The sequence below is a fragment of the Homo sapiens genome, chromosome 12 (genome assembly GCF_000001405.40).
Source record: "Homo sapiens chromosome 12, GRCh38.p14 Primary Assembly".
In the NCBI taxonomy this organism is placed as follows: Eukaryota; Metazoa; Chordata; class Mammalia; order Primates; family Hominidae; genus Homo; species Homo sapiens.
The window spans coordinates 6,006,422-6,032,834 of NC_000012.12; the positions used below are offsets into that span (position 1 = coordinate 6,006,422).

A 26,413-nucleotide genomic window follows, 5' to 3' on the forward strand; every position below is an offset into this window, starting at 1 on the left:
AGTATAAGTAGAATAAACTCTCCAATCAAAAGCTATGAAGTGGCTGAAATGAATTTTTAAAAATAAAATAAAACAGCCAGGTGCGGTGGCTCATGTCTGTGATCCCAGCACTTTGGGAGGCTGAGGTAGGCAGATCATGAGAGATCAGGAGATCGAGACCATCCTGGCTAACATGGTGAAACCCCGTCTCTACTAAAAATACAAAAAATTAGCCAGGCATGGTGGCACGTGCTTGTAGTTCCAGCTACTTAGGAGGCTGAGGGAGGAGAATCACTTGAACCCGGGAGGCAGAGGTTGCAGTGAGCCGAGATCGAGCCATTGCACTCCAGCCTGGGCAACAGAGCAAGACTCCATCTAAATAAATTAAGTAAATAAATAAATAAAATATAAAACAAGATCCAACTATGTGCTGTCTACAAGAGAGAGACTCACTTTAGATTTAAGAATGCACATAGGTTTAAAGTGAGAAGATGGAAAAAGATATTTCATGCCAATGTTAACTAAAAGACAGCACAGGTAGCCATACTTAGAGAAATTAAACTTCAAGTCAAAGATGGTCACAAGAGACAAAAAAACGGACATTATATAGTGATAAATGCATCAATTCACCAGGAAGATATAAGTACATTGCACCCAACATTAAAGCACACAAATATAAGAAGCAAATATTGACAGAAGTGATGATAAATATAGAACAACATAATAGTGAGAGATTTTAATATCTCACTTTCAATAATGGATAAAAAATCCAGATAGAAGATCAATAAGGAAACAGAGAACTCAAACAACACTATGGCCCAAGTGGACCTATCAAACAAATACAGAACATTCTACCCAACAACAGCAAATTATACATTCTTCTCAAACACACATAGAACAGTCTCCAGAATAGCTCACATGCTAGCCCACGAAACAAATCTTAACAAATTTAAGGAGGCTAAAATCATACCAAGTATCTTTTCTGACAACAGAATAAAATGAGACATTGCTAAGAGAAATAATTTCAGAAAGTTCTCAAATATGTGGAAATTAAAAAACACTCTTGAACAACCAATGAGTCAAAGAAGAAATCAAAAGAAAAATCAGAAAATATTTTGAGAAAAACAAAAACTAAAGCACAACATAGCAAAGCTTATGGGAAACAGCAAAAGCAATAAAAGGAAAGTTTACAGCAGTAAATGTCTACAGTAAGAAAGATCTCAAACAAATAACCTAATTTTACAATGTAAGAACTAGAAAATGAATAAACTAAGCCGTAAGTTAGCAGAAGGAAGGAAATAATAAAGATTTGAGGAAAAATAAATGAAATATAGAATACAAAATATCAATAAAACTTAGAATTGGTTTTTTAAAGGTCAACAAAATTAACAAAGCTTTAGCTAGATTAACCAAGACAAAAAGAGAAGACTCAAATAAATAAAATCAGAAATAGAAGAGCTTACATTACAATTGATAGCGCAGAAATAAAAAGGTTAGTAAGAGACTACTATGAACAACTACACACTAACAAATTGGATAACCTAAAGAAATGAATAAATCCCTGAAACATACAACCTACCAAGCCTGAATGATGAATAAACAGAAAATCTGAACAGCCCCATCATTAGTAAGGAGATGAAATTAGTAATCATAATCTCTCAATAAATAAGAGCTCAGATGCTTTCACTGGATAATTCTACCAAAGATTTAAAGAAGAATTAATGCCAATCTTTCTCACACTCTTCCAAAACACTGAAGTGGGAAACCTACTTTATGAAGCCAGAATTACCCTGATACCAAAGTCAAAGACTTTACATTAAAAAAAACTACAAGTCAATATTCCTGATGAACACAGATGCAAAAATTCTCAACAAAATGACAGCAAACTGAATTAAACAGCACAATCAAAGGATAATACACTCTGACGGAGTGGGATTTATCCCTCAGATAGGAGAATGGCTCAACGTCTAAAAATCAATAAAGGTGATACATAGCATTAACAGAACAAAGGATAAAAATCATACTATCATGTCAACAGATACAGATAAAGCATTTGTCATAATTCAAACACCATTTCATGATTAAAACATTCAACAAACTAAGAATAGAAGAAAATTACCTCAACAAAATAAAGGCCATTAATGAAAATACCACAGCTAACATCACACCGAATAGTGCAAAACTAAAAGCTTTTCCTCTAATCAGGAAGACGGCAAAGATGCCCACTCTCACCACTTCTATTCAACATAGTACGAGAAGTCTTAGCTAGAGCAATGAATCAAGAAGATATGAACATCACCCAAATCAAAAAAGAAGTAAAATTATCTCCATTTGCAGATGACATGATCATATGCATAGAAAACTCTAAAGATTTCACCAAAAATTTGTTAGCAAATTCAGCGAAGTTAAAACAAATTCAGTTGCAGAATACAAAATCAACATACAAAACCATTTGTTTCAATACACTAACAATGAACCTGTCCACATGAAAAAGAATGAAATTGGACCCTTACCTTATATCATACACAAAGTTAACCCAAAATCAAACTTAAACACTGATACGTAAAACCTGAAATTATAAAACTCCTAAAAGAAAACACAAGAACTTTGCAACATTGGTCTTGGCGACGATTTCTTGGATATCATTGCCAAAAACAAGGCAACAAAAGCAAAAATAGACAAGTGGGACTACAGCAAACCAAAAAGCTTCTGTGCAGCCAAAGAAACAATCAACAGAATAAAAAGGCAGCCTACAGAATGGAAGAAAATATTTGCAAACCGTACATTTGATAAAGGGTTAATATCCAAAATATATTAGGAACTCATACAACTCAATAGCAAAAAAAAAAAAAATGCAAATAACCCAATTTAAAAATGAGCAAAGGACTTGAAAAGACATTCCTCCAAAGAGACATCCAAAAACTCAATTATATGAAAAAATATCCAACATTACTGATCATCAGGGAAATGCAAATCAAAACCATAATGAGGTATCACCTCATACGTGCTAGAATGGCCATTATCAAACACACACACACACACACACACACACACACACACACACCAGGAAATACCACGTGTTAACAAGAATGTGAAGAAATTGAAACCCTTGTGCATTGATGGTAGGAATGTAAAGTGGTGTCGCGACTACAGAAAACAGTAAGAAGGTTCCTCAAAAAATTAAAACTAGTATTAGCATATGACCCAGTAATCCCACTTCTGGGTATTCATCCAAAAGCATTGAAATCAGGATCTCAAAAAGGTACTTATACACTTCCACATTCACTGCAACATTATTCACAATAGCCAAGAGTTAGAAATAATCCAAATGCACATCAGTGGACAAATGGATAAAGAAAATGTGGTATATACATGCAATGGAATACTATTCAGTCTTTAGAAAGAAGGAAATCCTTTCATATGCCACAACATAGATGAACTTGGAGGATGTTAAGCTAAGTGAAATGAGCCAGTCACAGAAGGATAACTACTGCATGAATCCACTTACAGGAGGTATCTAAAATCGTCAAATTCATAGAAGCAAAAAGCAGAATGGTGGTTGCGGGGGCTAGGGGAAGGGGAAAATGGGAAGTTGCTGTTCAGTGGGCATAGTTTCAGTCACACAAAACAAAAACTTCTAGAGATCTGCTGTACAACAACTTGCAAATAGCTAACAATATGGTATTGTACACTGGAAAATTTATTAATAGGGTAGATCTCATGTGTTTCTTATCACAACTTTTCTAATGGGAAAATGGGGAAAGGCATGAGCAGAAAATTCACAAAATTAGACCAAAAAATGGCAATTAAACATATGATAAAATGTTTAACCTCACTCATCATTAGAGAAATGAATTTCAAGTACACTGAGATACTATTTCTTTCCTGAAAAGTAAGAAATTTGCAAAAAAAATAAATAAAAACTGTAACAACACACTCAGCAAGGCCGTGGAGATGCATGCACTCTCATACCTCGCTGATCGAAAACCAAACTGATGGACATTCCAGTTTTGCACAACCACATCTCACCTGTTAGAGGAGAATCTGGGAATGTCTAAGGGGAACTTCATATGCACTTATCTTTTGACCCAAGAATCTCACTTCTAGGAATCTACCCTGAAGACACACCTCCAACCATATGAAAATTCGTTCGTATGTTCAGGTTTACTCATTGCAGCATTGCTTGTCATTACAAAACACTGGAAACAGCCTAAACGCACATCCATAGAAGAACAGTTGGGTAACCTATGGTACACAGTGAAGTATTAGGAAGCTCTCTTTGAAATGACATCGAGTAATTTCCAGGATATGCTTTTAATCACAAAAGGCAAAGCTCTTTGTACAGAGGAAAGCTGACCATACCCTCCTTCCCAGAGGCAGGCAGCCTAAATTGGAACTGGGAGGTGTTTTAACTCTAATCAAATTCAAAGTTTTGATTATTACGCAAGAGTGGGTATCTAGTTATCAACTGAGACTTTGTCTTCTGACAAAGTAACTATAGAATTCTTTATGAATAAACAGAAGAAACCTAAAGTCTGGTGGAGTTTTCACCTAGACCAAGAGGGAAATTTATCTCACTAAATAAATTCTAAAGGGGGAATGAGCTATAAATACAGTTTTGATTGCATCCCACCAGTTATGCCTGTTCAGCATAAAGGTTACAATCCACTGCTGAGTCATGGTCACCATAAGCAGTCATTGCTCCCAAACATGAGACAGAAGGCTAACCCAGCCCATGGATGACATGCTCTCCACAAGTGTACATGAGATGGACTTTAAATATTTCCTCCTCTTAATCCAGGCCGCCTTGGTGATGTACTGTTGCTATAGGTGTGGTTGGAGAGTTTTCTGGAAGCGTCTCTCTCACTGCTATACTTCCACTGCTATACCCTGAATACACAGATTCCTAAAGGTTGACTTGCCAACAGCCAAGCTGAGCATTGACCTCAGAAAAGCAATTCTTCCTTCCAGTTATGCATAATCTGGGGAAGTGCCTTCCAAAGACAGAGAAAGAGGGCAGTGATCCCTGAGACTGGCTGCATGCATGTCCAAAGAGCACAGGAGGAAAGGAAGGTGAGTGAAGGTAGCACTGTGCATGTGGTGATGAGGGAAAGGGTACTTCTGGGCTGGTGGGTGCCTGCTCTACTTTTCTGCACAGCCAAGCTAAAAGCACTGCCCCTTTGACGCTGCCCTGGCTGGAGAAGCAAAGGACTCACAGGGGCAGGTCCAGCGGCAGCCACAGGTCTCTTCCACTTTAACAGGGGACTGGCTGTTAGGGCACGAAGGCCTCAGCCCCCGGTCACAGTTGACCCGATGACTCTTCAGCAAGGTCTGGCCATCTGGCTGGCAAGTCACGGTGTGGCACTGGTCTGGCAAGGTCCAGACGTCCCCGGGCTGCAGAAGAAAACAGCAGATTCAGGCAGGGAATAAGATGAGGTACTCCAACTCTAAGCCCATCTGCCAGACAACTGACCCCTAGAATTGAACACAGGCCTACACAGCAAGGAGGCCCCCTGTACATGAGACAGGAAGCAAAACACAAGATGTACAGATGGACCCGCAAAAACAAGATAATAGTAAAAGGAAGCACTGGACTAAGACCAAAGGAGGAAAAATTAACCAGTGGGAACAAGAGCCCCAAACACATCTCTAACCTTTCTTTCAAAGTCAACAGAAAGGAACTTACCCTCTTCTCATTCCCATCCTCATCCATGCAAATCCTAACAAATCCTGCAACAGACACAAATAAGACCTTAGTTCCCATCTTTCACCCAGAAATTCTGAACCATTCACAATGTCTGCTTAAGCAACCTGGTCTAGTTTTTGAAGTCAACTCAACTCTGAAAAGAATCTGAACAAGGTTAACAGTGGAGACATAGGGACATGAGGCTGAGGTGGTCATCCTGTGGTTCTTCAGACATGCTCTGCAGTTATTAATAATTATGATGCCAACAACAGCGATAATATGGCAATAACTACAGCTTACGCTGTCATTATCTTGGTTCACATGTAGATCACGCCAGGGATGGGGAAGGTGGGGAGATGAAGCAAGATCCTGGAAACCTGAAAGAGATCTACTTGAAGATTCCTACCAGGAGAGCTGCCATCTCTCTGTACAGCTAATGTTATTAGCTATAAGTCAAAACTTGCATAGAGTTATTGCCCTTTAAGGGCAAACTTGCATTGACTTATTCCCCCGAAGGACAGTAGCTTTATGCAGGTTTTGACTTACATCTAGTAACGGGAAAATATACAAACCCAGGCCCCCGCCACAAAAAAAGCGTGTGTGTGTGTGTGTGTGTATTTTTTTTTTTTTTTTGAGATGGAGTCTCACTCTGTTGCCCAGGCTGGAGTACAGTGGCGCGATCTCGGCTCACTGCAAGCTCTGCCTCCCGGGTTCACACCATTCTCCTGCCTCAGCCTCCCAAGTAGCTGGTACTACAGGTGCCCGCCACCACGCCCGGCTAATTTTTTGTATTTTTAGTAGAGACAGGGTTTCACTGTGTTAGCCAAGATGGTCTCGATCTCCTGACCTCATGATCCGCCCGCCTCGGCCTCCCAAAGTGCTGGGATTACAGACGTGAGCCACTGCACCTGGCCAAAAGCATATTTTTTAAGTTTCTAACCTAAAATCAACTTAAACTATGGTACTTTGATATGAGTCTCCGTGTTATCGTATTTCTAAAGCCCTTTATACCCATGTTGAGAGTTAGTCTAGGCCCATGGGGAAGAAGACTATACCTACGGAACGCTGGGGTTCCTTGCTTATGTCTTCTGATTCTTTTGTCCAAGATCCCTCTACACAAATAAGCTTAGGCTCTCTCTGCCAAGTTCACATGGACAATTAGAGTGGAAATAGGACCATACACAGAAAGCTTTCTGCTGGCCCCATGGGGGCTTGTGGTATACACCTCCCATGAACAGAAACTTAAAGGTCCTGGTCTATATAATAATCTTCATTCAAGGCCAAATCTTATGCATGGGCACCCTGGGGTCTCTTGAATACTATTTTTGTTTCTTTGGCGGGTTTATTTTGGAACTTTTTTTTGAGGGAAGTAAGAAAGGTATTATAAGACTCACCAGAGCACAGTTTGTGGAGGAAGGAATTGCCCAAGGTGACCATGGTAGGGAGGTCTTCGATTCGCTGGAGCTTCACCACGTTGGAGTCGCCTGCTGGGCCTGCCAAGATCCGTAGCTGGGCTGCATCGTAGCGATCTCCAATTCCAATAGGGAACACTGTCACTCCTAGAGTTAGCAAAGAGACAAGAAAGGATCTGTGGGCAAGAAGGCTCAAAATGGACTGGCCTGACGTTATATCCAGCATCTGAATACAGCCTCATGTTTTCCAGGCTGGTCACATACATCAGCCCTATGAGGAAGATGTTCAGTCAACAGATATTAATGAGCTGCTACTCTGTGTCAGGTACTATTGTAAGCAATAGGGGTACAGCAGTGAACCAAGCACATAAAGTCCCTCCCTGTCCCCCGTCCTCATGGAGAGATAGACAACAAACACACAAACAAAGTAAATATATAGAATTTCAGATGTGGATAAATGCTTAGGAAAAAAACAAAATGAGATAAGGGGGATGAGAATGCCCAGGGCTGAGGTGTGGGTTATCGTTGCATATATGGCAGTTGGAGAAGCATTTGGTGAAAAGATGGCATCTGAGCAGAAACCTGATGTAAGGATGGAAGGAGCCAAGAGGATGTCTGAGGGAGGGACATCCCAAGCAGAGAGAAGAGTGAGTGCAAAGGCCCCAGAGCAGAAATGTGACTGCATGCTCCCGGGGGCTGGGGAGAGAGGGACAAGCAAGAGAGGGAAAGGGCATGGATCAGGCAATGCTCCATTGGCCACAGTAAGGGCTCACCATGTTCTGTGAATGAAACAAAGCCAGCCAAGACTACAGAGCAGAGGGACAGGAGCTGATTTTGATATTAAAGGGCCACTGCAGCTGCTGTGCTGAGAATGATCTGCAGGGGACAAAGGTGGAAGCTGGGGTTCCAGTTAGACAGCTATTTCAATAGTCCAGGTGAGAGATGATGGGGACTCGGATTGAGGTGACCCTAGTGGACATGGTGTGGGGAGGTGTGACTCTCGAAGTATTTTGAAGATGGAGCTATAGTTTGTTCGTGGCTTGCATGGAGGTATCAGGGAAAAGGAAGAAGAATCAAGGATGCTGAGCTTTTTGAACTGAACAACTGGAAGGTTGGAATTGCCATTTTCTAAGATAAGAAAGACAGATGTGAAAATCAGGAGTTTAGTTTTGCCTATTAGAGCATGCAAACTGAGTTGAGGTGAGGCTGGAGATACGAATTTCAAAGTCAAAGATGTATAAATGTATTTAGACCCATGACACTGAACTAGACCACCAAGGGGGTATATGTAAGAAGAGAAGAGAAAATATCACAGGGCTGAGCCCAGAGAATGTGCATGCTCATTTACACATGAGAAACCGAGGCTTTGGACGGTTAAATGACTTGCTCTGGATCATATCTGCTTCAAGACCACAACTGCTTTCTTTCCCAGTGAAAATCTTTCTTTGGATTCTTGATACTGAAGGAGAAAAAATCTCCATCCTGAAATTCCTCAATTCAGCTCTCCAGAAAGTTCTAGGAATTTGCAATGTGCTTCAGGTTGGAACGGATTTTCTATTAGCAGCTTTTCAGCTCTTGTAAGTTCGTTATATTATCCAAATATATATCCTTTCCCTTTTAGTGTCCTTTACCCTAAAATCATAGATTTCATAAACATGTCACATTCATTCACTCAACAAACGTTAAATGGTCACCTATTTTGTGCATCATACACAGATGATACAAAAATAAGCAAGATCTTCCCTTGCCTTCAAAGAACTCCCAGTTTTTTGCAAGGAATAGATATGTTACAAATACAATACAATACAATACGATTTGCACATTTTGAGTAGCTCATATGTGACATAGAGAACGGAGCAAATAACTTCCTCAGGAAGAACATCAGGAAGACAGCAGAGAAAAGACAGGGTTCTGACAGCACTCCTAGGCAGGGTTCTGAAAGATGAACAGTTCTCCAGGTGGCCACGAGGGGACTCAATGTCACTCCACTCACCCAGACCTTCTTCAGCTGGGAGGTGGTCCCTAGACTCTACCACCTGTCCCAGCTCACATCCTGTTGATATTAAGAACATGATAAGCACATGTTCTTATGGAGCACAAGGCTGGACATCTGGATCCTTCCCTTTCCTACAGCATGATCCTTTGTCTCTCATCCATCAACCCTGCCAAGCCCATTACCTGGTACCAGGAAAGGACTCTAAATACATGAAAGCCCCCATTGGTTCTCAAGGCCCTACAATGAATCACTCTGGCCTCAGACATGACATTTTAGTAAGAGACCACGAATCCTACTTTAGAAAGAAAGGGCATAGAGGTATGATCACTCCTGGACACAAAGGGAAAATGTGGAGAAATTAAAGATTATAATTAGTTATAAAGATATAGGATCAATACACACTTTTTATTGTTTGGTTTCCTAATCACATCGTGGTTGGATAATTTCCTGCTGTTTGAAACCAGGACAGAGGTTGGTATTGAGCATATTTAATATCAGCCACAACATCCAAAAGTAACCCCAGCCCACTTTTAATCCTCTATCATTTCTGAAGTCTCGCTCTCCTGAATTGAGGACTGTACACCAGATTCTTACTGTTGGACCTGGCGGCATCAGCTGCTGCATCCACTGAATCCACAGAGACGTCCGTGACCAGGATGACCACCGCCTTTGAGGCTCCCGGCCTGGCACCATGCATTTCTGAAGTCAAGTATCGCACAGCAAAGCCCAAGGCATCCCCTGAGGATGGAGAACAGATCACGCCAAGTCAGTACTGACTGCGGCTCGACACCCTGTCTTAACGGTGGATCCTTAAGTCACTTAAAAGCTGAATGATTCAGAAACTCCAAGGAACACCCAGTTGAGATCTGGAGAGACGTGGAAGAGCATCTAGCCCCTCACTTTCCAGGAGAAGAAACTAAGGCCAAGGAGCAAAGTGACTGGCCGAGGTCACACAGTCACTTATGCCAAAAATAAGAACCAGAATGCAGCTTCTGCATCCAGCCTGTGGCACCAACGTTACCGATTTGGCTGGGGCCTCCCTCCCGCTGCATGACGTCCACAAGGCTCAGCAAATGGGCTTTCTCCGGGACCACGTTCCATGGCACGTCAATGGTGGTGATGCTTCCATACTGCAGCACTGACACCTGAGTGAGACGAGGCCCTAAACGGAACGAGAAAATGCGGATTATTTTGAATCAAGTAGAGCCACAAAAAGAGCCTCTTCGTCACCTGCTGCTTCAGGTGCCTCGCTCACCCACCTATATTGGCTTTTGAAATGAAAGCCTTGGCGAAACTCTTCATTTCATCAAAATAAGAAGCTGGGAAACTGGAGGAGCCATCCAGGAGAAGGATCACGTCCAGGGGCTGGCTGCAGTCTGCAAAGACAACCAGGAAGGTGAGCACACAGGTGCCAGCAGGGACAATGGCCACCAGGCCTACAACCTGACATCCAATAGGATCTGCAGGGCGTGCTGACCACGTGGCACCACCAAGGGGGGCGGGGGGTGCCTTCGTGAGTACAAGGGCAATGTGGGCCAGGGAGGAGGGGATGGGGAGATGGAGTTCCTGGGTCCGGACTACCTCAGATTTAGAGACACTGAGAAGACTCCAATTCTACCCAAAGGAAGTTTAAATGTCTACAAATAAAAGCAGCAGGCATAGGCTTCCTCGGTAAGAAGGGGCCACCATTCTTCTAGAAATGAGTAAAATACTGGCCTGGCAATACAAGGAGACTGCAAAAGGAAATGGAGCGGCAGCCCCTCCCTGGACAATGAGCTGCTGTGTCCTCAGATCTTGCAGGGCAGGTGAACATACTGTGATTCTTCCAGCTATAAATGCCTAGTGCTCCTGTTAGTGTCTGAGCACATCTGAGATTTGATGAAATGATGTAATTGTTGTTTTCCTCAGCAGAAATATTACAAGAATTTAAATAAATCTATGGCCGTGAATAAAAACAAAAACAAAGAAACAAAAGTACTGACAAGTGTGTGACTCAAAAGATACTAAAAGAAGGCTTATTATTCTGGGATGGTCCCAAACACACCGAATAAAGATGTTCAGGAACTAGGAATGGATTAGACGCCAGTGTCAGTAAAAGGTAGTAGTAACAGCAGTGGGAGCAAGCATTTTTTTTTGAGCACTTGTCATGTGCCAGATACTATTTTAAGCAAGTAGGTGCTATTATTATCCCCATTTTATAGATGAGGATACACAAAGATGTGTATCCTTTGTATAGATGATATACAAAGAGGTTAAGTATTTGCCTCATCCTTTGTATAGACGATATACAAAGAGGTTAAGTATTTGCCCAAAATTACCCAGCTAGCAAGTAGCAGAGATAAGATTCAAACTAAGGCAGTCTGACTCCAGTGTCTGAAGACTGCACCTGCTACCTGACACCTGACATCCTGGTCTTGCCCTGAAGAATGTCAGCTACTCGGAATAATTTCACCCACCCAGTGTGGTCAAAATGAAGCTTATCATCACCACCTTTAACAGAGGTTACCTTGAAGGCAGAGGGTGGAATTGGGTGGGGAAGAGGCTGTGTGATAAAGTAAGACTTGCATTTTTTTTTTTTTTTTACTCCTTATTGGCATTGTTTAAATGTTAACAATAGGCTTCCATTACCTTTGAATTTATAGAAGCACACACAATAAGAAAAGATCTTCCCCCGAAAAAGGATCACAGTTTGTCTCCCTGCCAGGGAGGTGAGGAAACACAGGCCCTTTGAAGGCAAGTTTCAACCAAGGCCACACAGACCAGGGAAGCCAGGATTAGAACCCGAGTCGTATCTTGGCAGATGCATGTAGCACCAAGGCCATGCCAGCCCTCGCCCAGCCCTCCCACCTGCACACAAGGTGCCAGCATACCAGGTGCAGGGGAGAGGGTGGGGATCTGCAGCCCCTCTCCGGAGCAGCACCTCTGCAGCACCAGGTCAGGAGCCTCTCGGGGGAGCGTCTCAAAGTCCTGGATGAGGATAGGGGCATTGGGCCAGCCAATCCTCTCCAGCTCCTGCACGTTGGCATTAGGGCCCACTCCAATGGGCACCACCTGGATGTCTCCAGGCAGCCTCTTGATCTCATCAGAGGCAGGATTTCCGGTGACCATGTAGACCAGGTTGGGCGCCTGCTCCCGGTCACCCTGGCTGACCAAGAAGCTGTGGTCAGAGAGGTACCGCAGGGCCAGCCCAGTGTTGGTCCTGTTGCCGCCCTGGTAGCGGATCTCTCGCACCCGCTGCAGGATGTCCCCTTTGGACTGTGCCTCGCTGAAGGGGTACTCCACAGTCACCATGTAGGAGTACTGCAGCACCGTGACGTGGATGCTGTCCTGGCCCACATCCATCCGCTGAATCACCTCCTCCATGAACTCCTTGCTCCTGTTGAAGTCGGCTTCACCAATTTTGTCCGATCCTTCCAGGACGAACGCCACATCCAGAACCATGGAGTTCCTCTTGGGCCCCAGGGTCGAAACCCCCAAGAGCCCCGGGCCCACAGTGACTTGTGCCATGTCGGGGGGCAGAGTAGGAGGAGGGGCTTCAGGGGCAAGGTCACAGAGGTAGCTAACGATCTCGTCCCTTTGCTGCTCCAGCTCATCCACACTGCTCAGCACGAAGGCCTTGTTCTCAGGGGCCTGCTTCTCGATGAGGCGGATCTGCTTGAGGTTGGCATGGGGCCCAATGCCCACCGGGATCACAATGACCTTCTTCTTCTTCAGGCCCTGGACGTAGCGGACAAAGTTCCGGGACATCCGTTGGGGCTCCTGGCTGGCCATCAGGAGCAGGGTGATGCGGGAGGCTTCAGGGCGGTCGATCTTGCTGAAGATTTGGAACAGTGTGTATTTCAAGACCTCGCTGGTGGAGGCCACCTGGCTGCCCGCATACTTCACCTGGCTGGCAATGCGCCGCAGCTCTGACGGTCGCTTCCGGTCCTTGAGCCCGATGTAGGCGTGGGAGCCGTCGTGGTACTCCACCACGGCCACGCGGACCCACTTCTGGGAGATGCGCAGCCGCTCCATCATGTCCACCACAAAGGCCTTCAGCACTTCAAACTCAGCCTCGGACAGCCTGGAGGAGCCATCCAGCAGGAAGACCAGGTCCAGTAGCCTGCTGCAGTAGAAATCGTGCAACGGCGGTTCCGAGATGTCCTCCACATACAGAGTGGTGGGGCTCACCGGGGCATCTGTGGGAGGCACCACCAGGCCTCCCGGCTCCTGGCAGGCTTCACAGGTGAGGTTGACAACATCACAGTGGCTGCAGAAAAGAGCGAAGAAATTAAAATGGTTCAGGAAGAACCTGTGGACACTTCTGAGCCCTACAGTGTACAATGACTTCCATATTCCCACAGAATCTCCTCTGTTCCACCTGAACTTGAGATCCCATGGACCATTCCACATCCAAGTGAGATGTCATTGTTTAACATCTGTCCCCAAATAGCATGCCCCCCACCTTCAAAACACACACATAGCCGACTTCCTTTGATTCTAGAAACCAAAGCTTTAGCCCATCCTAGGATATGAAAAAATATACTCGTTGTTCTAGGCCATCCACACAACCACTCAAAGCTGATTTCTTTTCAACCTACATCTTTAGCAACATGAATACTTAATTATAATCCAAGCCTTCTTACAAGTGTCTCCAAGAACAAATGTTACTAAAATGTAGACGCTAACCTGTGTTTGTACATGTTCTGTTGAAGATAAATGCTTTACAGTACATATTCTAACAGAATGTAAATTGCATGAGTTTTAAAACATGTTTGATATGTTGGGCCCTAACGAAGAGAGAAAAAATTGGAGCAAAAACATTGTAGAAAGATGAATAAAGATTCAAAACCCCAGCTTTATCTAGCAGAACAAATTATTTGGGAGTAGCAGACAGGGGTCTCCACGGTGTCAGGCCTAGGAAAAGACATTCACTCATTCCTCCAGCAGACATAGGGTGAGCACCTCTCATGTGCCAGGTACTGGCCAGGCTCTGTGCCCAGCCCCAAGCACACACCACAAGTCTGTAGTAGAGCAGTGGCCCCCCACACACAAATTCCTACACTACCATGCCAAATTTCCAGGCTCTGCTGGTAACATCACCTTTTTGCCAGTGTCCCGGAAAGTGGCACGGCCTGCCAGCCCACAGGTGAAATCAAGTGACCGTGTGGTGGAGACCAATATGGGCCAGGACCATCTCCTCTTTGGACTCTCAGCCTTGGAGGCACCTGGCCTTCAGCACTCCCAGTAAAGCTGACAAGGCGGCAGCGCCCTGAGCCTGGGAAGTGTCCCCCTGCGGCTTGATACCAGGTGATGCCACCAGCCTGCTGTGGGACTTCTGTCCACACACTGCTTGCAGCTTCAGCGTGCACCGTGGCAGCTGCCCCTGCCCGTGTGCCAGCAAAGGAGGTGGGGAGAGGGCTCGAAGCTCTCATGCCCTTTTGGCACAGAACCCCAAGCCAGCATCAGAATCACCCAGTCCTTTGCTCCCTACAGTCTCTGTTTCAGCATAAAGAGTGTGCGCAGGTAGAGTCTTACTAGGAAGTTAATTCCTCCTTCCCGTGATCCACAAGATTTATTGCTTCAATCCTTGGTTAACAGTGCATGAGTGACATACTTTCTAGTTTCCTGTGTTTGCTAGAAAACTCACCCCAGGCAGTGTTCATTCTTGTTTGTACAGATGGTGGCGGCAGGATCTGACTCTAGCAGCTGTGACCATAGCCCCTCCCCAGCGAATTTACGTTCTCAAGTTTAAGCTCCCAGAAGGCTTGATTAGTGTCAGGGAGTGGTGTTGAATAGATCTGGATTTTAATAAATGCTCCCTACTTATGAGCAGGACTTCAGAGGGCTCAGAGCTCACCCTGAGGACTCCTTCTCACCTCCCCAAAGGCCAGTTTCCCAGAGGCAAGTCCAGTGAGAAGCCAGGGTGAGAGCAACGAGCACCTTCCCTCCCCATTATGACAGCCACACCCTGCCACCTTGACTATGGCCCCCACGACGTTCATGTTACCTGAGGGCCCTGGGTTCCATCTCACTTTCCTCTCCTGAGTCCCCACCTCCAGTATATGGACACCTGTGCTCAGACTAGTCATGACCTACAAGGACAATAAGTGACCATACCCCCACCTTCAGTGAGAAAAGCAAAAACCTGTTAGGACTTAAAAACCTATTAAGAGCAAAAACACTGTGGAGGAATATATGTGGAGGAAGCAGTCTAGTCCATCCCTAAAGAAAAAGAAGCAAACCCTAGGAACAAACAAAACAATAAACTACATTAAATAATGAATTAAATAAATAAACAAATAAAATAAACTCAGTCTCTCAACTCATGTGGCTAGGACTTTTTACCCAAAACCTAGTCTCTAAGCTGGCCCCTGGAGAAGCAATAAGATTCATCACTTCAAACAACCCAGGAATCTGTTTTACCAAATCTGGCAGTGCTCAGGGTCACTGGGATTCAAGGTGACTTTCTTTCCTGAGGCAAAACGCCGGCCAGCCACCTCACACACTGGACAGTCTTCAGGGTCAACGCAGGTCTGCAAAAGCTCATCCAGGATTTTCCCTGCAAAAGAAAGCTCTCATTAGGAACCAAAACGCTCCCCTTTCCCACGAGGAAGCCTCATTTTTAACTAAAAGGGAGGAGCCAACTCCTCCTCCTGCCCTAGAAGCCAACTCCTCCTGCCTGCACTCCCAGGGGTCACCCCATCACTCAAGGAGCATCTCTCCTGCTTGTGCCTTGATTGATCCCTCTGCAAAACTGGGAGCGGGGATTCCTTCACCCTACCTCACCTCCCCAAGCCTCAGGACAAATGAAATCTTATCTCCGGGGCTCTTTCTGCTCTTCTGAATAACACCTTCAGTAACTCTAGAGCTGTGCTGTACCATAGGATCGTCACAAACTGCGTGTGGCTATTTACGTTAAATTAAGTAAAATTCAATAAAATTCAAAACTTCAGTTCCTCAGACACACTCGTCACAGTTACATTCAATACAACATTCCCCCACTGCAGAAAGTTCTATCGGCAGGGGCTGCTTTAGGTGAGAATCCCATAAATAGGCACAGAAAAGCATTTTGGAGGAGCTCGACTTGAGAAAAATCACGACTGTCCTGACTCTGATGAAAGAACCCACGGAACCTGCAGCAGCCTTGCAGGTCAGAGATAGGACGTGGCAGGTGGAGGCTGAGATGAAGCAAGACCTAGAAGCACCTTTCCATCCATCCCTATCCCATCCCACCAGCCTGACCCCCAGGGATAGAGGCCTCACCTGGAGGGCAGTGGGCATGGCAGCCCTCCACACACTGCACAGGGCAGGCCAGTGGCTCAGGGTGCTGACACGTGACTTGACAGGCAGGTGCACAGCTGTTATAGCGCCACTCACACTCATACCCGTTCTCCCGGAGATTCCTCTCCTCGCAGCTCTGGGCTGTGTAGACAGGAGACAAGGCTGTGGCCACAACAGGCAAAGCCTCCAGGACTGCAGACCCATGTGGTGATGGCCTGCGCCATCTGGAGATAATGTTGGGGAACTAGGGGACTATGGGCGTCACCAATATTAGAGACTTCTGGATTGTTGAAGCACCTAAACCAGAATCTATTGGTTCTGAATTCATTTCTTTTTTTAATTTTTGTACAGATGGGGTCTTGCTATGTTGCCCAGGCTGGTCTTGAACTCCTGGGCTCAAGGAATCCTCTGGCCTCAGCCTCCCAAAACACAGGGATTACAGGTATGAGTCACTGTGCCCGGCCCAGTTTTCTACATAAAAACATTAAGTTGCTTCTGTCCAAAGAAGCAAGATTCTATAGACATGAATGTATGAGTTGATCACTCATATTGGCAAATATAATCACGCCTAATTAAAGACATAAATCGACTTCCTTCTTTTCATCAGTATTCCCTCTTCTCCCCTGCCAGAATCTCTCCAGAAGAAAAGTCTCCACATGTTCATGCCTTGAATCCATGTCCCACCTCACCCGTAATATAAACTTCTTACACAGCCAATGTCTTAACCCTCCTTAGCCCTTGGCCATCCAGTCCCTACTAACACTCTGTCTTCTCTCGCCCATGAAGATATCCCCCTGCACTCACAAGGTCTTCAAGCATAGACACATGGGAAGAAGGGAGGGCATCTGAGAACATGAGGGCGTCAGTACTCACGGCACAATGTGGCCGTCCTCCAGGTCACCACCTTGCCATGCTGGGCACACACGTGGGCATAGGCAGCAATGGTGTCGCAGAAGCAGGCGCAGTCCCCAATGGACTCACAGGAGCAGGTGTCGTAAATGCAGACATCCAGATATGGCTCGGGGTCCACCTGCAAAGGCAGCCTCAGGTGGCCCAGGCCTATGGCCAGGTGTCAGGAACTCTGGCTCTTAGTCTGGGTGCAAATGTTCTGATGGTCAATTTAAGGATAAGGGGGTCCAGGTAGAAGGAGAAATGTAGCTCAATGGTCTCAAAGAGGGAATGAGTGGGAAGGCAAGATTCTTAGTTTCTAATCTGCATTCCAGCAAGAAGAGTTGAATAATGCAGTGCTGCTGGCCTTCTGCAGAACACAATGAGCCTGAGGATTTTCCAGAAGAACATTCCCTCTGTCCCTCTGCCTACCTCCCTGCTCAGCCACCCATCTGTCCTCACAACCCACTCTTAGCCTCATGAGCATGTGGGTGCTTTTACAAAAACACAAACACACATATGTGCTGGTCACTGTCTTTCTTTGCCTCAATTCAGCAAAGAGAATGGGGAAATACATCAGGCCCTGCAGCTGCCTCACTGCAGTGCTATGGGGCAGGTATGCAGGACAATAGGGCCTAGACTCTGATTCCAAATCCAGTTCAACCAGTTCCAACCCTTCCTCATCCCCAAAACACGCCTCTAAACACACTGGACTTTTTCAGGGCAGTTATGACAGAAAATGAATTCAGACACTGAGTGGGTCATTGTTTCCAAGACGTTCCAACAGTCTCAATGTCCCCAACTCCTCCCCTGTCCTCACTCTTCCAACTCAGATGCCCAGGATTTCCACCAAACCAGGGAATGTAAGTATCCTTTGGAGTCCTCAGAGACCGAAAATCACTGCATAGATAGAAAGAGAATTGAGATCCATGTTTTCAACCAGTCTCTCCCACATTGGTGGTGTTACACAGCAGCATGTATGTGTGCATGGCTGTGTGTGTACACAGACTTCTGTAGTCACATATGTCCATGTACAAGCCCATGTCCACATGTGTGTACACACATACATGCAGCAGATAAGAGACAACTGCACTATGGTCGGGCATGGTGGCTCACACCTGTAATCCCAGCACTTTGGGAGGCCGAGGTGGGTAGATCACCTGAGTCAGGAGTTCAAGGCCAGCCTGACCAACATGGTGAAACCTTGACTCTACTAAAAATACAAAAATTAGCTGGGCGTGGTGGCAGGTGCCTGTAATCCCAGGTACTCGGGAGGTTGAGGCAGGAGAATCGCTTGAGCCCAGGAGGCAGAGGCTGCACTAAGCCAAGATCATGCCATTGCACTCCAGCCTGGGTGACAGAGCGAGACTCTGTCTCAAAAAAAAAAAAAAAAGAGAGAGACAACTGCACTTAACCTTGCGGAATTCCTCCTTGTCATTAGAGATGAAGACACAAAAATAAGTCATAATACGAGGACTCAAAATCACCAAAATTAAGGCCAGAAAAGAATTTCTGTGAGACAAGAAATGGGCACCAAGGGGTTTTAGGGGGTGGGAGAGGAAGGTCTTTTGGTCTGGACAAATGCAGCAGTGACAGGAAAAGGAAATCTCTGGCTCTGGTGTTGAAAACAAGATACTTCAATAAGAGAACAAATCCTAAGACTGGGGCTGAAAGAGAAGCATTGGCACATGCCAAGGGGAGTTACTTCTCATGCAGAAGGAAATGTTTTGCCAGGCATTGCTTCCCCTAGAAACTGTTGATTTTACTTTTTGTTTCCCAGATTGAAAGCCAAGAAAAAAAGCCGAAGTGGTGTCTTGGTGCAGATCATGTCAAGACACGAGGGTAGTGTCCACGTTAGAAGGTCACACTCTGTGTCCATACCACCAGGCCAAGCCTTGGGACCGTCTGCTTCCCACTACCCTCAAGGTCCTCACCAGCTTGTTGCAGTCCTGGAAGACGTCACTGGTAAGGATTCTACAGGAGGAATCCACCATCGTCTGCTTCATGATGTTGTTATGGCAGGTGGCAGGGGATGAGTCCAGAGGCACCTGGGAACCAGGCAAGAGATAGGCCAGCCGTCAGCTGGTCAAACTGGGGTTATTCAGCCCAGAAGGATCCAAGAGACCCTCCTTCCCACCCTGCAGCCACCTGGAGGTCATACCACCCACAACCCCCCTTCCAGCCCCCATGACAATGGGGACAGAGGGACATTCCAGGAAGCAAGCTCTAGGGCTCTGTCCACACAGAGACCCAGACGTACTTTTCTGGTGTCAGCACACTGCGAGCTCACTTTCCAGGAGTTCCCAAAGTCCACAGGGTCTTCCTCCACTTGGAGGTTGCTGCTGGTGAGGTCATTGTTCTGGATGCCATCAAAATTCCCACACAGGCCACACACTTTCTCCTTGAGAGACAAGTTGAGGGATGAGCACCGTCAAGCCCAGGAGCATGCTCTCCGGCTCAGGGGAAAGGGGAACATTCCTGGCGGCAATGGAGGCAGAGGGCATTCGAGGAAGAGGAGGAGGAGCGGGACAGAGACTCAGAGGAGGCCCGAGGTGAGCAGCAAAGCCTTGCCATTGCCAAGACCCATTCCTGAGCTTCCTTGCTGGCCCCATTTTATTTAAAGCTATGGAAACAGAGAGGCAACATGCCCATGTCACATAGTCAGCCAAGGGCAGAGGTGGGAATCAGGCAGCCTTGGCCCTGAGATCACTGGTGGGAACTATCACTGTCCCCAACAAGCATAGAAGCAGAGAGAGGAGCCAGGTACACTGCTCCACCAATGGAGGTGTAGGGGTCCAAGGAGGGAAAGTTATAGAACTGCCTGCCTCTGGGAAGGTGAGTCCCCTTGCCTGGAGAAGTGCAGCCTGTTCAGAGTAGGCTGGGCAGAATTCTGCTCTCTCATAAATGTAATCAGGAAGATATGTCTCACCTGTCTCCATGTTCACCCATCATGGAGTGCAACATGCAACAAGTTCTGAAAAAGTAGTTACGAATGAGTGAGAAACAAGTGAAAACTACACAAAGAGGAGGGATAAGTTCTAGTGTTCGGTAGCACCACAGGGTGACTATAATTATCAACAGTTTATTGTATATTTTCAAGTAGCTGGAAGAGCAGACTTTGAATGTTCCCAACACAAAGAAATGGTAAATGTTTGAGGGAACAGATATAGTAACTACCCTGATTTGATCACTACACACTGTATACATGTACTGAAATATCACACTGTCACCAGTAAATACATACAGTTAAATGTCAACTAAAAATAATAATAAAACAAAAAAACTACAGAAAAAACTGGAAATATTTGGCCTGGAGAAGAAAAGGTGCTATACTTTTACAATATACTTAGAGCCCTGATGTTGAGACAAAGAGAAAAAATGTATTCTATCTTGCTTCAATAAGCTGCATTCAGCTTGGTACAAGGGGTGTAAGTCACCAGGAAACATAGAGGAAGAATGTTCTCACTGTTGGGCAAAAGGCCAACGATCTTCCCATGGCCTAGTAGCCCCCATGGTATGGCTACTGCCCCTCCCTGCCCTCGTGAACTACCATTACCCCCAAGTCCCTCCTCTGTAGCCACACTGACCTCCTTGTACAACGGCTGCAGACACCTACCACCTTAAGGCCTCGGCACGTGCTTGTTCCGTCTGCCTAAACTCTCTCCCCTAGATACTGGCATGACTCATTCCCTCCCTTCCCCAAAGATTCTGCTCTTACATCCCCTCTTCACAGGGCTCATCAGCCCAAACTATCTATAGTAACATTCCTGCTAGGATATAATCTGCACCAGGATTATGGAAGGCAAAACAGTGGCTCCCATGGGATGAAGAGTTTAACCTGGATTATCTGTGTGGGCTGAATGTCATCACAGGGTCTGATCAGAGGGAGGCAGGAGGGTCAGAGTTCAAAAGGTGCTGTGACAGACAGAAGCAGAAAAGGAGAAAAAAAGTAGAAGATGCTACATTGCCAGCGTTGAATATGGAGGATGGGGCCACAAGCCAAGAATGCAGGCAGCCTCCGGAATGTAAAAAAGGCAAGAAAAGGGACCTCTCTCAGAGCCTCTAAGATGAATGCAGCCCTGCCCACCAATTTTAGCTTTCCAACCTCTAGAACCATATGATAATAAATGTGTTGTTTTAAGCTATCAAGTTTTTGGTGATTTGTTATAGCAGCAATAAAAAAACAAATACATGGAAGACACATACACACACACACACACACACACACACACACACACCCCTAAACAAAAAAACTTTTTTCCCCTGCTGTATCCACAGCGCCTAGGACCACGTTTGACACATACAGGAACTCAGTATTTGTTGAATAAATGAATGAATGAATTGTTAATGCTTTCTGGGACTGAGATGGGCTGCCACAGAGAAGTGAGGGCAGTGCTGCCTCACTGGCTTGTACAAGCTGAAAATGGATGGTGTTATCAGGGATGCTGTGGAGGCCATTCCTGCCTGACTAAACCAGTGGCTAGAGTAGCCAGAGCCACTTGTCACATACATGCCACTTAAAGAAATCATGCAAGTTCCAACAAACTGTTGGACCCTAAATAGTGGAACCGTTCTCAAAAGTTGGTTATTAGCAATTTTACAAATAGCTCTCAAAACATGCTGGCCCATGACTCAATGATAAGGAAACACCCTAGAATAGTCTGCAGTGTTATACTAATATTGTGCATGATTGGTTTGCTGCTGTAGGTTAAGAAACCTAAAGAAAAGTTGATATTGTCATTCAGATTCAAGAAATACAGAGAACACCACAAAGATACTCCTCAAGAAGAGCAACCCCAAGACACATAATTGTCAGATTTACCAGGTTGAAATGAAGGAAAAAGTGTTAAGGGCAGCCAGAGAGAAATGTCGAGTTACTCACAAAGGGAAGCCCATCAGACTAATAGCAGATCTCTTGGCAGAAACCCTACAAGCCAGAAGAGAGGGGGGGACCAATATTCAACATTCTTAAAGAAAAGAATTTTCAACTTAGAATTTCATATCCACCCAAACTAAGCTTCATAAGTGAAAGAGAAATAAAATCCTTTACAGACAAGCAAATGCTGAGAGATTTTGTCACCACCAGGCCTGCCTTACAAGAGCTCCTGAAGGAAGCACTAAACATGGAAAGAAACAACCAGTACCAGCCACTGCAAAAACATGCCAAATTGTAAAGACCATCGATGCTACGAAGAAACGGTATCAATTAATGGGCAAAATAACCAGCGAACATCATAATGACAGGATCAAATTCACACATGACAATATTAACCTTAAATGTAAATGGGCTAAATGCCCCAATTAAAAGGCACAGACTGGCCAATTGGATAAAGAGTCAAGACCCATCAGTGTGCTGTATTCAGGAGACCCATCTCACGTGCAGAGACATACATAGGCTCAAAATAAAGGGAGGGAGGAAGGTCTACCAAGCAAATGGAAGGCAAAAAAAAAAAAGCAGGGGTTGCAATCCTAGTATCTGATAAAACAGTCTTTGAACCAACAAAGATCAAAAGAAGGCCATTACATAATGGTAAAGGGATCAATTCAACAAGAAGAGCTAACTATCCTAAATATATATGCACCCAACACAGGAGCACCTGGATTCATAAAGCAAGTCCTTAGAGACCTACGATCAGGGAGCAGAAAACACTCCAAAGGCCAAGTCCCCAACAAGATGAAGCAAGAAAGCCACTGACCTGGTATGTCTGCTTCAGGACCACGGAGATGCTCAGGTGGCGGTCCCAGACCACGGAGAGGGCTTTGCCCAGCAGCAGAATGATGTACCGGCCAGACTCCACCACCTCAAAGTGAGTCTCATCCTTCATGGGCCTCTTCACATTCACCTGGAGGAAGACAAAGCAAGAAATCCAGGAGGATGAAGGGCAGGCTCGACAGCCAGATCCTCCCTCCACTCTACACCTGCCCATCTGTCTTCAGTGCCCACGAGTGCAGGCACTGCCACCCCTCCAGGACCCCACCTGCCACTGCACCCCTGCAGGGCCAGCCCCACGCCAGGACATGTCTGTGACCATCTCACCACCACCACTCTCCAGGCATCCATGACCAAGAGACGGTAACAGAGGTAGCAGCAAAATCATGATTATGAAATTAAAGTACTATGAAACCAATGAGCAGGTATTTTATTGACAATTAGTCATTAAATATAGTGGTCTCCTAGATAGGTTTTCAACATGGCAATGATTTTAAGCATCTCTAGTTGATTGTTTAAAAATCTATTCCTCTATAAAAATAAGCAGTAGACTCTCACCTTTCTTGTATCCCACCACCTCCCCCTCCCCAGAGCCACTGTCATCAGGAGACAGAGCTGAAGAAAAAGGAAACTGAGGTGCTCAGTGCTAGTGCTGGGAATCACACACTGCAGGTTCAAGAAGGGCTCTGACCTGAGCCTCTGACTTAGCCCAATCCCTGCCAGTGCTGTACCCTGGAGGACCATTTCAGCATGTGTGGCGGACTCTCCAATTCATCAGACTGAGGCTGAGGCTGAGAACTGCCATCATCCCTTTGCAGAGGTCCTCTCATTAGTAACATATCACATGCAGTGCAGAGCTAATCACATGTGCAAATCTATCCCTCACATGTCTGCACACCTCCTGTTCAGCATCATCACCGCCACTCTGCCCTAAATAGAGCTGTTCTTTGAAATGCAGTTGACACTGCTGACTCACAGTTAATACGTTATGCTTGCTAAGCAGTTTTCTTCCATAATGGTGAAGAATTCACCTCCCATCCCCTGCTGTCAATGGTGGGTATTTGGAAGAAGGCAGAGCTGCAGGCTGAGGCCATGGGAGAAAATGAAGATACCAGGACAAGTTTGTGCCCAGAGCCTGGGTCTCCACAGCACTCCACATAGTCAAAGCAGCGGATCCAAAACTGTGGCCTGGGGATGACCTGCAACTTTAAACACAGGTTCCTGGGCCCCACCCAGACCTACTGAGTCAGAATCTCAGCATGGAGTTCTAGGAGCCACATTTTAAACAAGATCTCCTAAGGGAGTCTTGTGTACACTTATGAGAACTACTTTTTAAGTTCTTAGTACACAGGGGACTGAATTAGTTTACTCCTCTTTTGAGCTCCTTTCTGGCCAGGCATGGTGGCTCATGCCTGTAATCTCAGCACTTTGGGAGGCCAAGGCAGGTAGATCACCTGGGGTCTGGAGTTCGAGACCAGCCTGGCCAACATGGCGAAATCCTATCTCTACTAAAAATACAAGAAATTAGCCGGGCACGGTGGTGTACACCTGTAGTCCCAGCTACTAAGGAGGCTGATGCAGGAGAATCGTTTGAACCCTAGAGGTGGAGGTTGCAGTGAGCAGAGAGATCACACCACTACACTCCAGCCTAGGCAAAAGAGCGAGACTCCATCTCAAAAAAATAAAGTATTTATCTGAAAAGAACAGAAAAACATATGAAACATATCCCATAACATCATCACTTCATACACACACACACACACAAAGAAACCCGGCTACCCTCCAGTCCCCACCCTACTCTAGAGGTGAGCACTGGTTCTTCCCACGTTTGTGCAGACACATGTGCACATCCTTCACACACACTCTGCACTGTCGCTAAAATGGGATTGTGTCATCCCTATTGTTCTGCCACTTGTTCTTCTCATAAAATAATACGTCACGGTCAGTTGCAATAGCTCTGCCTCATCCTCTTTAATGGCTGTGCGTTATTCCATTCACACGAGCTCTAAATGAATGCTTGGAAAATGTTCCTATTAAGTGGCAGAAGCACAAAGCGGGACATGAGGGTGGAGATGAGGCTGCACTTACCTCCCCGTCAAACAGCTCAATCTCTCCTCCCTCCACCAGGATGGTGACCCGTTTCTTGCATTTCACTGAGGGGTGGCTGCATCCCTTATTCCCCACTAGGATCCGAAAGGTCCCAGGGTTACTGCCGCAGTAATCCTGGGGAAAGAGGAGTGCCAGGAGAAGACCATTATCCCCACTGGCTCTCACCAGACCAGAAGATTGGCATCTCTTCATCACAGGCCTTTGAGTACGTGTCACAGGATCTTGCCACGTCCATGGCTGCGCATATGTGCCTCTGTGTGTGTCTGGGGGACGGGGGATATGCCCAGGTGAATGCCCTCAGGTGTGTCAACCTCGCCCACGACAGATGAGCCAGGTGCCTGCAGTGAGTGGGGTGGGGGTGGGGAAGGAGGGGGAGGGAAGGAAGGTGACATGTGGCCTGCTTCGATGGATGCATCAGGCTCAAAGGCCTTGCCTAGAGCCCATTAGAGTCCCACTGGAGCCTTGCCTAGAGTCCCACCCAGGTAACTGGGACAGTTTGACCACAGGGCACTTTGTGGCTCTGAATTCTGGTTGAATCCCTCTGCACTGCTGGCCCAGAAATGGAACCAAAGATGGTTTGACACAGCTCCATGGGTCCTGAGCTACCAAGTCGAGATGAGTAGAGAGGATAAGGAGCTCTGGTCCTTGTTGGTCAATTGCATAGAAAATTAAGCAAAAGGGGACACATTCCTGGCAAATGCCTCCCCCATGGTGGCTATTATTGTGATGTGATGAAAAAGAAAGATAAAATGTTCAACTTAGAAAAACAGAGTGTGTCGCTTGAACCCGGGAGGCGGAGGCTGCAGTGAGCCGAGATCGCACCACTGCACTCCAGCCTGGTGACAGAGCGAGACTCCATCTCAAAAAAAAAAAAGAAAAGAAAAGAAAAAAGAGGCCGGGCATGGTGGCCCACGCCTGTAATCCCAGCACTTTGGGAGGCTGAGGCGGGCGGATCACGAGGTCAGGAGATCGAGACCAGCCTGGTTAACACGGTGAAACCCCGTCTCTACTAAAATACAAAAAATTAGCCGGGCGTGGTGGCGGGCGCCTGTAGTCCCAGCTACTAGGGAGGCCGAGGCAGGAGAATGGCATGAATCGAGGAGGCGGAGCTTGCAGTGAGCCGAGATCGCACCACTGCACTCCAGCCTGGGTGACAGAGCGAGACTCTGTCTCAAAAAAAAAAAGAAAAAATAAAAACAAGGTGTGAATCTTGATTCTGCCACTTATTGGTAACACTGAGCAAACCACTTACCTTTCTGACACACACACCCACACACACACATACACCCAAATACACACAGGCACATGCATACACTCAAACACACATATACATACATCTATGTACTCATACACACACTCACACACGTGCT

At 45.8% G+C, this 26,413-nt stretch overlaps 1 protein-coding gene across 2 annotated transcripts in view, besides 1 other annotated feature; it reads right to left on the minus strand.

Moving 5' to 3' along the window:
• Positions 1-26,413, minus strand: part of VWF (von Willebrand factor) — a 175,794-nt gene that overhangs the window by 57,545 nt on the left and 91,836 nt on the right. For both annotated transcript variants that reach the window (NM_000552.5, XM_047429501.1), the window contains exons 21-34: positions 25,023-25,157; positions 22,921-23,067; positions 19,485-19,625; positions 19,159-19,272; positions 17,210-17,366; positions 16,319-16,477; positions 15,479-15,614; positions 11,944-13,322; positions 10,333-10,449; positions 10,095-10,235; positions 9,668-9,811; positions 7,060-7,224; positions 5,666-5,709; positions 5,196-5,373 (exon numbers count right to left, since the gene is read on the minus strand). In NM_000552.5, the coding sequence (NP_000543.3) occupies positions 5,196-5,373; positions 5,666-5,709; positions 7,060-7,224; positions 9,668-9,811; positions 10,095-10,235; positions 10,333-10,449; positions 11,944-13,322; positions 15,479-15,614; positions 16,319-16,477; positions 17,210-17,366; positions 19,159-19,272; positions 19,485-19,625; positions 22,921-23,067; positions 25,023-25,157 (3,157 nt within the window). The remainder of the gene's footprint in view (positions 1-5,195; positions 5,374-5,665; positions 5,710-7,059; positions 7,225-9,667; positions 9,812-10,094; positions 10,236-10,332; positions 10,450-11,943; positions 13,323-15,478; positions 15,615-16,318; positions 16,478-17,209; positions 17,367-19,158; positions 19,273-19,484; positions 19,626-22,920; positions 23,068-25,022; positions 25,158-26,413) is intronic.
• Positions 12,128-12,627: an enhancer, noted in NCBI's record as "H3K4me1 hESC enhancer chr12:6127715-6128214 (GRCh37/hg19 assembly coordinates)". NCBI's record gives its function as "activates a minimal SCP1, AML or CMV promoter by ChIP-STARR-seq in naive and primed H9 embryonic stem cells {active_cell/tissue: H9 hESC(naive and primed)}" and the evidence as "EXISTENCE:reporter gene assay evidence [ECO:0000049][PMID:30033119]".